A 14,072-nucleotide genomic window follows, 5' to 3' on the forward strand; every position below is an offset into this window, starting at 1 on the left:
ACACAAGAAGGGTGGGTCATGTTCTATTAGTAAAAGCAGCTGAACACCAAGAACTTCTCTTTCTTCAAGTAAAATCTAAAAAGTAATCTCATCTTACTTTTGACAACTATCTTTGCTTCACTTTCTCTAAAATACAGATTAATACCTTTAAAGAGGGTATAAAATGAATTTATAAATTGGCATTTGCAATGTGACTCTCACACCAAAAGTAATCTCACACATTATTTTTTCCCCTGTAGTATGCACTAAATAAAATATCCAAATTTGATTCTGCTGAGAGCAACAATATAAACTATTTTCACTGTAATATCAACAGTATTTATCAACAATATCAATAATATTTACTATACTAAGATTTTTTAAATTTCATTTCCTAATCTCTTAGCAATAAAATATAGTATGACCATTTCTTCAGTTTTAAAATTACCTGAAATTGACTGGAAGACCAACTCTATAGCTACATGAAATTGTAAAAGGGCTGCAAAACTTGAAGCAGTATGAGCATACCCCTTTCTATTAACATTTAACATAACTAAGGGAAGCTGCATATATTTCATCCCACCTTTACTAAATGCCACGATTCAAATTATAGGTCAACATCCAAACTAAGAAATACAATCACAACAAAACCAACATAACATTCTAAACAAAGGGCAGTTCAGCCAAGCTGTCATAAAGAGTTCAGATTTCTACAACCTAAACAGTTGAAAAACTGCTTAACTATTTAGATTTTTTTTAATTGTTACCTATCAGGAATACACCTACTGTTTCACTTTCTACTTATGCCACATTTATCTTAAGTTTTACACTTCTGGATCTTTCAACCGTTAGAGATCAACCATTAAATTACTTCAACAAGTAGAAATAGTAACACCGCTCCCAAACAGCAATTTTTGCATTGCTAGACACTTATCTAGTTGGCAGATTTATACCATTGTTCATTCTTAGTTCCTTAAATGTAAAAAATACCCACAGAATGGTAGCATACCTCTAAATTAGTTTAAATATGGTACAAAGTTATTTTTAGTTAGGTTCAAGTTTTAAAAAGGCACTAATTGTTCTTTTTAAAGGCTAATCTACTCAAGTTCCTCATATTAAAAAAAAAGTTAATTTGTCTCTTTTGGAAAAAAGAAATGTTATTTATGTAATGCTCAAGCAAAAAGGGTGTTCAAATAATAGATCTGACATCAAATCAGGGTTAGGATCATACTTATTGTTCATAAAAGTAAGTTTGACATTTATTCTAATGATGGTCCTTTCAAACACTAGTATGGTTAAATGTCATTTATATGCACTTTCAAATATAATTCTTATTTTAAAAATACTCCTATCCTCTACTATGCAAAGTAGAAAAGGAAGAAAACCCCCACAAGCAATTATAAACATTTTTATCCATGAAAAAATATATACAAGAAATATTCACATAACATTTAAGATTTGTCTATTCCCTCCTTGCATGCTAGAAAGATGCAAAGACAAACACTTCCAAATACTCAGACAGATCATTCCCCAGTTGTAACTTTCATCATAGTTCTCAAAGCAGTATGGTGAGGTCAGCTCACAAACAGCTTAAGTAGCAAAACTAGAAATTGGTGGTAGTAGTATCAGGCTACATAACAGCCTCTCTAAAGAAGATGAAGTAAGAGAACTAAAATGTGCTGGCAACACGCCAAAAGACTGGATGGAATATAGCTTTGAGCAACAAATACTCAGAGCTTACAGTATATAGCAATTCATCATCTCTTATCCTGTAGCTTGACTTTCCTTGTTTTAAACCAAAAATAGCCATGTATAAGAGGTATTTAACACTACAAAATGTGTCCATACTTATGAAATGAAAGATATCTGGGTCTGCAATGATTTGTTTAACTAAATACATACCCTAAAAAAAAAAAATCTGACTTACATTCTGTGTGAAGATGAGGAAGGTAAAATGGATAAAAATACATTGATATTATTATGCATAAAATAGCCTTTATTCTCTAAGGATTATACTACCCTCAAGCATAATCTTTAAGGTTTGGGTTTTCTATATTTTTAGTTCTGAGTGTCTCTTCAACTGGCTGGTATTTAGAATTAGACAACCTTCTCAATATATTTAATGAAGAATTAATCCTGTCAGATCAGAGGACGTGATTTTGGTCAGATATAATTTTTTTGACCTTAGTCAAAATATATGTTACTTTTATAATTTCATCTTACATGGATCATATATTAAAATAGGATAATAAACTCATTCTTAAGTCTCTAACACTTTCTAAAATACTTTTTTTTCTAAGAAACCAAAAGAAAAAAGTTATTTTAGGCCAGAAAAAAGAATCAGATTCAATTCAAATCAATACACATTTAATAGCTATTTTGTGCCAGACATTATACTGAGAATGAGGAAACAAAGATAATATATATACATGGTCTCCCAGAGCTGACAATCTGGCTGGGAAGACCGACCCATTTAAACACACCTACACACTCAATGTGCTTTACTAGCTGTAGGAACAAAAGCCCTACTATCGCCAAGGAAAGAGTGAATGAGTCTGCCCCAGGGGCTGAAAAAATCTTCAGAGGCAAAGTAAGAGTAGAGCTATGTCTTGAAGGATAAGAATTTCACAAGGAAAAGAGGAATATTGCCAGCCAAGGACAATGTTATTCGCCAAAGACTGAGCAAAAGCAAAAAAGCACAAAAACATAACATGTGTGAGGAAACCTATGTGGCAAGGGTAGGATAACAATTTCTAGTACATGTGCTACTACTCTTCTACCCTCACTGTGTAACAGACATCACTAATCAATTAAAGCATGTTTAAAACCCATTTGACATCTCAAAATTCTTCTCAACATATAACACAAACTAGTAGAAGGAGGTAGGTCCATGAGATGAAATATACATGCTATCCTAACCCTGGAAAAAGAAAGTGGTGGGACTTGAGGCAAAGGGTAAATTAAGAACAGATTATGAATAACCATGAATGCAAGGCCAACAAGTTTAGATTTTATCCTGTGGACAACAGAGGATGAACAAAGGACTTTAGGAAGAATATTGATGTGATTAATTCTGAAAGATATGTGAAGAATGGATTTGGACAGACAGAATGAAGGCAGGAAGAAAGAACAGTTAAGATGCTATCATAAAAGTCCAGGCAAGAAGCAATGAGACCTGAATTTCAGCAATGGGAAAATCTACTGCATGTTCTAAAAGAAAAATGAAGTTTTGGATTTTATTATAACCATTTTATTACGGTTTTAAAATGAAAATTTGGGAAAAAGTAATATTCTAGTCAGAATTCCCAAATAACACTCAAAATGGAAAAGAAAAAACAAAGTAAGGTAAAGACTAGAATTAAAGAAGTGAATCACAATGATACCCAAAATTACTCGACTATAAATTCAGAAATAGATATCTCAGGTTTAGCATCAAGAAAGAGAACATCCTCATGACCAGACTAATACTCAGCAAGTCTTTTCTTCCTCTCAGGGCACTAATACGCTAGCCAAACAACAAACGCTATTCACCTTACATGCCCCTACAATACAGGGTCAAACTCATACTCCCGGTGAGATGCAGACAGCACTAAAGTCAAATTTAAAACAGAAGTCTGAAATCATGTAGAAGCTCAACTTTATCCAAACATTTAAAACTCCACACTTCTTTTAAGAAACGTAATTTATATGAAATAAACCTTCTGGAAATAATACCATTCTACTATTTATTAATTCATATCCTAGCCTTTAAACTCCAAAATTCTTGGTATGGAAAACAACTTATCTGTAGCACTTTGGAAAATATGTACAAAAAACAACTCTCCTAACACTTCTGCAGAACGTTTAATAAATGAAACTATTCTAATTAAAAATTAAAACTTCACTGTAGCTCAAAAGCCCAAAGGGAGTAAAACGTTTTTTCTATTTTGAAAAAGGAATTCTTTAGCTATTGCAAACAAAGGCTAGCGCAGTGATGTGAAATCCAAGTACAACATGTTAATAAAGCTGGCATTACTGTTTTAAGACCTAAGGATATTCACATTAAGGATAAAATTATCCTGTAGTGAATGCCAACAATGCATTTCATACTACACAGACACATATTCAAGGGTTCTACTTTGTTCCAATTCTTTTGTGTCCCAGTAACAAACTCTCAAATTGGGATCCTTATCCTCTTAAACTAAAATGAAATATATGAGCTTGGACATAAAATTTACTTGTGCTACATTATTCATTCTGAGAAAGCAAATCAGATGAACAATTTAACATAATCTAATTCTGAACCATAAAGATATGGATTAGTCAGTGATGAGCAGGTCTACTTCTCATGATGTCATTCCAAAGTCATTATTAAATTTTACACATGTTATTCTTTCTTCAAATCAATCACAAAACAAGTCATCCCGAGACTGAGGTCAAATTCCATTCTAACTAAAAGATCTCCAAATCTGAAGTAATGGTCTACTTACTAAGTAATACTCAAAGACCAAATTCCAGAAAAACCCTCCTCCTGTACCTCCCCCCAACTTAAAAAAAAAAAAAATCAGTCTTCTCCTTTTAGCTCACTGTAATGGAATGTGACCTGTACTTAAGGGCTTTTCCATTCCTTTTTTTCTGCTTACAGAATATGAAGCAGACCTATTCTCTCTCACAAGGGCAATATGCTTTTAAAAGAAAAAAAAGTGAAATGTACGAAGTTAATAATGTATTAATTAGAACAAACAAAAGTAAAATAATTTACTAGATTTCTCACATGTGAGTTGTCCTCCTATTAGAACAATGCATGACACTTAGAATGAGTGTATTTTTTACTTTTTTTTTTTTTGAGGCAGAGTTTCACTCTTGTTGCCCAGGCTGGAGTGTAATGGCGCAATCTCGGCTCACTGCAACCTCCACCTCCTGGGTTCGAGCAGTTCTCCTGCCTCAGTCTCGTAACTGGGATTACAGGTGTGCGCCACCATGCCTCGCTAATTTTTGTATTTTTAGTAGAGATGGGGTTTCACCATGTTGGCCAGGCTGGTCTCAAACCCCTAACCTCAGGGGATCCACCCACCTTGGCCTCCTGCAGTGCTGAGATTACAGGCATGAGCCACTATGCCTGGCCAGAATGAGTGTATTTAAATGACAATTGAATTTTTATTTTTATTTTACAACACTGATCAGACATCTGAAAGATTTATGATTTGTATCACTCCTAATAAATTAAGCAGGGAAGAGGAGGTTAAAACTGCACCTACTTAAATAAATCTTCTTCACATACAATATAATATTGCTATAAACATTTTCCATGACAAATCATTTTTATTACTGAACTTACACTTAAGTACCTAATCATAGACAGAACAGGAAAGTAAGCACTTAAGAAATGTACTTTGAGGCCAGGGGCGGTGGCTCACGCCTGTAATCCCAGCACTGTGGGAGGCCAAGGCGGGCGGATCAAGAGGAGAGATTGAGACCATCCTGGCCAACACGGTAAAACCCCATTTCTACTAAAAATACAAAAATTAGCCGGGCATGGTAGCATGCGCCTGTAGTCCCAGCTACTCAGGAGGCTGAGGCAGAATTGTTTGAACCCAAGAGGCGGAGGTTGCAGTGAGCCAGAATCACACCACTGCACTCTAGCCTGGCAACAGAGCGAGACTCTGTCTCAAAAAAAAAAAAAAAATGTACTTTAAAGTCTAAACTTAAACACTTTAATTAATCTACCTGAAGTTCAGCTCCTCATTTTAAAAAAAGAAAGCATTTAATTAGATAATCTTTAAAGTTATTTCTAAGATACTTTAACCTGCCGGGTGTGGTGACTCATATCTGTAATCCAGCACTTTGGGAGGCTGAGGTGGGCGGATCAGGAGGTCAGGAGTTCCAGACCATCCTGGCAAATATGGTAAAACCCCGTCTCTACTAAAAACACAAAAATTAGCAGGGCGTGGTGGCAAGCGCCCGTAATCCCAGTCACTCAGGAGGCTGAAGCAGGGGAATCGCTTGAACCCAGGAGACGGAGATTGCAGTGAGCCAAGATCGGGCCATTGCACTCCAGCCTGGGCGATATAGCGAAAACTCCGTCTCAAAAAGAAAAAGATACTTACTTTAAACCAAAGTTTCTTTTGTTTTGAGACAGAGTCTAGCTCTGCTGCCCAGGCTGGAGTGCAGTGGCATGATTTCGGCTCACTGCAACCTCCACCTCCGGGGTTCAAGCGACTCTCCTGCCTCAGCCTCCCAAGTAGCCAAGACTACAGGCAAGTGCCACCATGCTCAGCTAATCTTTGTATTTGTGGTAGATACAGGGTTCCACCATACTGGCCAACAGGCTGCCCTCAAGTGATCCACTCGCCTCGACCTCCCAAAGTGCCAGGATTACAGGCATGAGCCACCACTCCTGGCCTAACCCAAGTTTTAAGATGAACAAATTCTATTTAACTCGGACAAAAGCACTCCCAAAATAACTCCATTAAGGACACATTTTACTTACATTCTTCCTACACCTTCATACATGTTAGTCTCATCTACCAAAGTCATGATCTCTGTATCTGTAAGATGTGCATGCTTTTTCGTTCTGTTTAGCTGTTCAATCTGTATGTCTGCGAGCTTCACCTTCTGTTGAGTGTCAATAACTTTGGCTTGAAGCTCTGTGAAGGCCTAATAAAAACAAGTCCATGATTTAGTAGGTAAAACATTTTACAGGAAACATTTACCTCAAATCCAAATATATTAAAACAAAATATGCTAGCCAGAGACAAAGCTGTGAAATTTACCAAACATCAATAAAAGTCAACATAACTGTAAACAATCAAGTCACCATACTAAATACTGAATTTACAATCATCAGAAGATACAATCAGTGTGAAGCAAATCAAATGCATATTAAGTAATAACCATATTAAGTAGCAAGTACTCAAGGAGTAGTAAAAGAAATAAATGCAATAGTCAAGGATGAAATCCAGAGATTCAAAACAAGAACCATAAAAGTAATAACTCACTACATTTGTATTGCACAATTAGGTTTCAAAGCACTTTCTCACATTAGTTTGAAATATTAACATGGGAATATTAATATAAGAATATTAATGAGGAAATATAATAAATATCTCATTTATGCCTCTCAGTAATTCCATGAGTTAGCATTGGCAGTCTCATCATCCACAATTTACAAATTAAGTAACCAAATGAGTTAAGAGATAAAAGTGGCTTGCACAAGGTTGAACAACTACTGGGGGGAAGGCAGGTGTTATTTAAATCCATTTCTTCTAACCCCTTAGTTCAGCAATCTTTCCATTCCACTGTCTATAGTAATATTCATAATATGAACATTTTTAAGAGGAAGACCAAGAAAGAGAGTGAGAAAAAATGCAAAGCACTGGCAAAAGAATTGCATCATGATCTTCATCCACAGATACCAGGCCAAATTTGACCCTTGCGTACACTTACTTAACTGGAAGATAAACAGTTCTTGGATACTTTTGTTGAAGTGCCTGGAATGACTTTCACATGCTGTTAAATTTGTGCCTTAATAACATCTGTGACTGCAATGCACAGCAAAGGCTACTACATAATTTTTATTGTGACCTTGTTTTCACCTACTAGTAAGGTTTTGAAAGATTTACTTTGGGGAAGGGGAGGGGCCTGAAATTTCCTATTTGTCTCCACCCAAAAAAAGGACCCTGTAAAAACATTAGAAGATAAAACCTTTAAACAAGTTTTTTAATTAATTGGTTATCAAAATTATTCATTTTAAGTTTGTAATCATTTTCTTAGTTTGCATTCACCGCCCGCAAGTTTCAAATGTAGCAATAAATTCAAAAGTACCGGGAGGCAAATCCATTCACTAAACCCTGATTTAAATCGGTACTTTTAACAGAAGAAAAGGTAAATTTTTAGAATGCACAATTTTGTTTTGAAATGTAAAATTCCAGGTATCATCTGACTGCTCTATACAGCTTGCTAAGGAAGCTAGTATACCATTAAAGATGAGCTAGTATACTGTTAAAGATTAGAGACTCCACCTAAGAGCTAAATTTACAAGATTCAAGACAAGAAGAACAAAAGCAAGACACAAACACATAATATCCTCACAACACTAACAAAAGCTTCATTTGTTAGAAGCAACAGCTATTTCGGCTGTCCTATTTCTTTTACACAAGTTGACCACAGGCAGTCTTAACTAAGATGTTGCTCATCTGAAGAACTCAAAATAGTGGTCAAAAAAGTGTGAGATAAGGCAGAGAATACTGGATTCTAGTCCCAACTTCTGACAGACTTTTCTGGCACTGGTTCCTTTTCCAGAAAAGTAGATTTAAAATAGATAAATTCTAGGGTCCTTTCCAATCCACCCCACCGCACAAAGCATACTGGTTTGGGGTCATTAGTGGTGTTAGAATGCTGATCATTCTTAGATAGCAAAAATCTGAATAACAACACATTTATAAGCAACTGAGGAAAACAGGAAACCCAATTCCTTCCGATACCGGTTTTATTTGGAAAACTTTACTGGTTTTGTTTTGTTTTTGACAATTCCTTCAAAAGAAGGAGGTTTTGTTTTGTTTTGTTTGACGAGTCCTTCAAAAGAAGTGGAGGGGGGGCAAAATCCTGAAATGAACATTGCTGCTACAATGCTTGGTTTTCCGAACTGTAGATATTGCAACTTTCAAGGTACAGAACCGAATAAATGGCCTAAAAACAAAGGTTGGACTTGGAGTTTTTCAAAGCAAATGAGGCAGAATTACGGATGCCACAGCTCAGGCAAGGGGTCCGAAGGGACCCCCATTTGAAATGCTCTCTTTAGTTCTTACTATGAAAGTGAGTCCCTGAAGCCTCCAAACGCAACGAAATGTCTCTGGAGCTCAGAAAGACTGGACAAGCCCGAGACAGGCCCGCAGACTTACCCGACCCAGACCAACCGGCTCCTACCCAGCAAGAGCCGCTCGCCCCCCACCCCGTTTATGGAGACCCAGTGAGGCCTTAGGACTCTGGGAAACCATTCCCTAGTCCACTGGACCCTCCTTCCTTCTGCAAGGCTCGTGCCTCACTTGATATTCTTGTCTATAGTCCCCTCAGCCTCCAAAAAGAAGACCTCCGCCTGCCAAAGACCCTCTTTTACCTTCTTCAGCTCTAGATCCACGGGGGCGGCCATCTTGGTGCACTGTAAGCGCCTGCGCAGTGGGAGTTGGACTGAAATAGGGTGGGGAAGGGCGCGTCTTACTTTGTGCGCCGGTCTTTCTTCTGCGCCTGCGCATGAGTTGGACTAACCGGGCTTCTTATCTTTCTCTGAGAATTGACTCCTGAAATATTTGGGTTTCGGATTCCGTGTCTTCACTACCTGACCGGTCAGGTCTGGCTTGCTCCTCCGTATCTTCCAGACATAGCCCAACGCGCAGATTTCCCATGTGGCTTTAAGCAGTTTGCCAGCTAGCTTAATATGTGCTGCTAAATTGAGATGTATGTAGATGAGGTCAAACCCTCATCAGTCGATCAGTCCTTCAGCTAGTCGCTGTGCTCTCAGGAATGAGTAAGAGTAAGTCCAGAACCTCAGGCATGACAGTTTGGGAAAGACTATTGGAAAGCTTGTCTGGAGTGTTCTTTCCAAAACGAACTTATTACTTCCAAAAGCTTCCCAAAGACATTCTAGGCACAGTGGTTCTCAAGAGAGGCTGAATACGTTTGTTTAAAAACAAAAAAATGCAGGTTCTCTGGGTCTCATCTCAAACGTACTCAGAATCTTTGAGAATGGGGTCTGGAAATTTGCACTTTTGCAGACTACCCCAGTGACCTAATGGTGCAACTCCTCCGCGGATCACTTTTTTGAGAATCTCTGCCATAAAAGGACCTGGCATTTGAACCAGAATAGATAATAATTGACTTTTGGAAATGGAAAAAAAAGTTAACCTACTCTAAAAACTGTTATGCTAAGAGAAAGTGCTACATAAATAATTAGGAAATTTATTTTATTTTTTAAAAAAAGAAAGAAAGAGAGAAAGAAAACAAACTGTTAGGGAGATGAAAGGGCAGGGAATTTGGAACCAGCCTAATCTAGATTCAAGGCTTGGTCTGCCTTTAGCCTATGTCTGGTTCCATTTACTAATTGTGTGACTTTAAGCAAGTCACTTGGATATTTTGTGGGGTTTTTTTTTTTTTTTGTACGTTTGTTTGTTTCTTGAGACAGGATCTTGCTCTGTCACCCAGGCTCGAGTGCAATGGTGCAATCACGACTCACTCCAGCCTCTACCTCCCGCGCTCAAGCGATCCTCCCACCTCAGCCTCGTGAGTAGCGCTGGGACTACAGGCGCGCGCCACCCACACTCAGCTAATTTTTATATTTTTGTACAGACGGGTTTTCACCTTGTTGCCCAAGCTGGTCTCAAACTCCTGAGCTCAAACAATCCGCTCGCCTTGGTCGCCCAAAGTGCTGTAGTGCTTTGATATTAAAGGCTTGAGCCACCGCACCCGGCCACATTTTTTTTTTTTTTTTTTTTTTGAGCCAGGGTCTCGCTCTGTCACCCAGGCTGGAATGCAGTGGCACGATCTCGGCTCACTGCAACCTCTGCCTCCCAGGATCAAGTGATTCTCCTGCCTCAGCCTCCCGAGTAGCTGGGATTACAGGCGCCTGCCACCACGCCCGGCTAATTTTTGTAGTTTTGGTAGAGACGGGTTTCACCGTGTTGCCCAGGCTGGTCTCCAACTCCCAGCCTCAAGTGATCCGCCTGCCTCGGCCTCCCAAAGGGCTGGGATTACAGGCAAGCCACCACGTCCAGCATCTGCCACCTATTTTTAATGAGCTTCAGTCTTCTCATGTTTGAGAGTGACCATATTGACCTAACAGGGTTATTGTGAGAAATAAATGAGATCAGGATAAAAAGCTCCAAACATAGCTCCATGCACACAAGTAGATACTCAATAAATCACTGGTGTTAATCGCCGTCCTGTTTGTCTTTCAAAGTCCAGCAAATGGGCACTACATCCCCCATCACACAGAGCAAAGATAATCTCTCCTCTGAACTCCCCTCACAACATCTATTTCTCTCTCAAGGCATATAACACTGTCTACCTTTTTTTAGAAAACATTTTTCTTAGACTGTAAGCTCCTTGAAATCAAGAACTATGGAATAATGGTTCTTCCACCTCTTGTACCTAGAACACCTGTCACAGTGCATCACGGGAAAAAAATACAAAATGGATACTGGATGTGAATAAATTATTCTGGAAAAAAAAAAGAAGACTCATTCCTCCCCAATTTGAGAAAGAGTAAAAAGGATCTGATATTTTGATTCTCTGGGACCTTCTTAGATTCTCATTACAGATGATCAATAAATACTGACTGATTAGCCAGGCATGGTGGCATGCCCCTGTAGTCCCAGCTACTCAGGAGGCTGAGGCAGGAGAATTGTGTGAGGCCTGGAGGCCAAGGCTGCAGTGAGTGGGGATCAATTGTGTCATTGCACTCCAGCCTGAAAGACAGAGTGAGACCTTGTCTCAAAAAATAAAATAAAATAAAATAAAATAAAATAGTGATTGAATATTGAAATTCAAAAAAAGTCTGAAATACTGTCCTGTACATTACCTCATGAGACTTTTGAAAGAGTCCTCATAGAGATGTATGGACTGTAAAAGTTAAGAGCCTGGGCTAAGCTGTCAGACAACCTGGGTACAAATACTGATTATACTACTTAAGGGTAATATGATCTTAGGCAAGAGTCTTCTCTGCATTGTTTGTTTGGTCATTGTTTCTCTTTGTGTATTTGTATACTACTTCTTCCTCATGAGTTTAATTTCCTTTTTTTTTTTTTTTCTTTTTTGAGACATGGTCTCATTCTGTCACCCAGGCTAGAGTGCAGTGGTTCAATCTCAGCTCACTTCAGCCTCCACCTCCCGGGTTCCAGCAATTCTCCTGCCTCAGCCTCCCTAGTAGCTTGGATTACAGGTGCATGTCACCACCTGGCTACTTTTCGTATTTCTTGTAAAGATGGGGTTTCACCATGTTGGCCAGGCTGGTCTTGAACTCCTGACCCCAGGTGATCCACCTGCCTCAGCCTCTCAAAGTGCTGGGATTACAGGCATGAGCCACTGCACCCAGCCTAATTTCCTTCATGATAAAGGAAATCCTTCAGTAGGTTCTTTTAGTAAGAATGTCTGATAAGTAAATTCTCTTCATCTTTGTTTTACAGGTTGAATTGTGCCCCCCACAAAAGATATGTTGAAGTCCTAACTCCCAGTACCTCAGAATGTGACCCTATTTGAAAGTAGGGTTTTGGGACAGGCGTGGTGGCTCATACCTATAATCCTAGCAGTTTGGGAGACTGAGGCGGGAGGATTCTTTGAGCCCATGAGTTTGAGACCAGCCTGGACAATAGGGCGAGACCTCATCTCTACAAAAAATAAAAAAAATTAACCGAGTGTGGTGGCAGTTATCTATATTCCCAGTTACTTGGGAGGCTGCAATAGGTGCATTGCTTGAGCCCAGGAAATTGAGGCTCCAGTAAGCTATGATCTACCACTGCACTCCCACCTGGGTGACAGAGCAAAGCCATGTCTCAAAAAATAAAAAGAAAGGGAGAAAGGAAGGAAGGAAGGAAGGAAGGAAATGGAGTTTTTACAGAGGTAATCAAGTTAAATGAGGTTATTAGAGTGGGCCCTAATGCAATATGACTGATGTCTTTATAAAAAGGGGAACTTTGGACACATACAGACACACACACAAGGAGGACTATGTGAACAGACATAAGGAGAAAGCCACATCAAACCTGGGGCTATCAGGCCAGGCGTGGTGGCTCACGCCTGTAATCCCAGCACTTTGGGAGGCCAAGGCAGGCAGATCACCTGAGGTCGGGAGTTCAAGACCAGCCTGACCAACATGGAGAAGCCCCGTCTCTACCAAAAATACAAAATTAGCGGGGCGTAGTGGTGCATGCCTGTAATCCCAGCTACCCAGGAGGCTGAGGCAGGAGAATTGCTTGAACCTGGGCGGTGGAGGTTGCAGTGAGCCGAGATTGTGCCATTGCACTCCAGCCTGGGCAACAAGAGCAAAACTCTGTCTCAAAAAAACCATCTGGGGCTATCAGAAACTGGAAAAGGCAAGAAGGATTCTTCTCTTTCGGGTTTCAGATAAAACATGGCTTTGCCAACACCTTGATTTTGGACTTCTAGCCCCCAGAACTGAGACAATAAATTTGTGTTGTTTTAAGCCACCCAGTTTGTGGTACTTTGTTGTGGCAGCCCTAGAAAATGCTCTGTGTATATCTAAAAATGTACATCAGGCCAGGTGTGGTGGCTCATGCCTGGAATCCCAGCACTTTAGGAGGCCAAGGCAGAAGCATTGCTTGAGGCCAGGAGTTGAACAAGACCAGCCTGGACAACATAGTAAGACCCCATTGCTACAAAAATTTTTAAAAATTATCCAGGTGTGGCACACCTCTGTAGTCCCAGCTACTTGAGAGGCTGAGGCAGAGAATAGCTTGAGCCCAGGAGTTCAAGGTTGCAGTGAGCTATGATCTGCCACTGCACTCTAGCCAGGGTGACAGAGCAACACCCTGTCTCAAAAAAAATGTTTTTTGTTTTTTTTTTTTTTGAGACGGAGTCTCACTCTTTCACCCAGGCTGGACTGCAGTGGTGCTATCTCGGCTCACTGCAAGCTCCACCTCCCGGGTTCATGCCATTCTCCTGCCTCAGCCTCCCAAGTAGCTGGGACTACAGGCGCCCGCCACCGTGCCCAGCTAATTTTTTGTATTTTTAGTAGAGACGGGGTTTCACCGTGTTAGCCAAGATGGTCTCAATCTCCTGACCTCGTGATCCGCCTGCCTCGGCCTCCCAAAGTGCTGGGATTACAGGCGTGAGCCACCACGCCTGGCCAAAAAATATGTATATTTTTTTAAATAAATAAATGCATATCTAAAAGGTTCACCCTTATTTTTGAATGACAGCTTAGCTATATATAGAACTATAGGTTGACAATTATTATTGAAGGCATTTTTCCATAGTTTTCTGATTTTATATACTGATAAAAAGTCCTCTGTCAGGCTGCTTTTCATTTCTTTGTTAGAAATCTGTCTTTTCTCTGGTATATTTTAAGATTCACTTTGTCTTTGGGTTTTGCCCTTCTACTTTGA

General features: G+C 39.4%; 1 protein-coding gene across 2 annotated transcripts in view, besides 4 other annotated features; it reads right to left on the reverse strand.

Annotated features, from left to right (window-relative positions):
• PFDN1 (prefoldin subunit 1) overlaps positions 1 to 9,134 on the reverse strand; it is a 58,067-nt gene extending 48,933 nt beyond the window's left edge. For both annotated transcript variants that reach the window (NM_002622.5, XM_005268465.5), the window contains exons 1-2: positions 9,074 to 9,134; positions 6,449 to 6,615 (exon numbers count right to left, since the gene is read on the reverse strand). In NM_002622.5, the coding sequence (NP_002613.2) occupies positions 6,449 to 6,615; positions 9,074 to 9,106 (200 nt within the window). In that variant the 5' untranslated portion in view covers positions 9,107 to 9,134. The remainder of the gene's footprint in view (positions 1 to 6,448; positions 6,616 to 9,073) is intronic.
• Positions 4,963 to 5,479: an enhancer, noted in NCBI's record as "H3K27ac hESC enhancer chr5:139678515-139679031 (GRCh37/hg19 assembly coordinates)". NCBI's record gives its function as "activates a minimal SCP1, AML or CMV promoter by ChIP-STARR-seq in naive H9 embryonic stem cells {active_cell/tissue: H9 hESC(naive)}" and the evidence as "EXISTENCE:reporter gene assay evidence [ECO:0000049][PMID:30033119]".
• Positions 8,871 to 9,150: an enhancer, noted in NCBI's record as "active region_23265". NCBI's record gives its function as "activates an Ori minimal core promoter by ATAC-STARR-seq in GM12878 lymphoblastoid cells {active_cell/tissue: GM12878}" and the evidence as "EXISTENCE:reporter gene assay evidence [ECO:0000049][PMID:35858748]".
• Positions 8,871 to 9,243: a biological region, named in NCBI's record as "ReSE screen-validated silencer GRCh37_chr5:139682591-139682795".
• Positions 9,039 to 9,243: a silencer, noted in NCBI's record as "fragment chr5:139682591-139682795 (GRCh37/hg19 assembly coordinates)". NCBI's record gives its function as "represses an EF-1alpha promoter that drives an FKBP-Casp9 reporter gene in an ReSE screen in K562 erythroleukemia cells {active_cell/tissue: K562}" and the evidence as "EXISTENCE:reporter gene assay evidence [ECO:0000049][PMID:32094911]".

This window comes from Homo sapiens, chromosome 5 (genome assembly GCF_000001405.40).
Source record: "Homo sapiens chromosome 5, GRCh38.p14 Primary Assembly".
NCBI classification, from domain to species: Eukaryota; Metazoa; Chordata; class Mammalia; order Primates; family Hominidae; genus Homo; species Homo sapiens.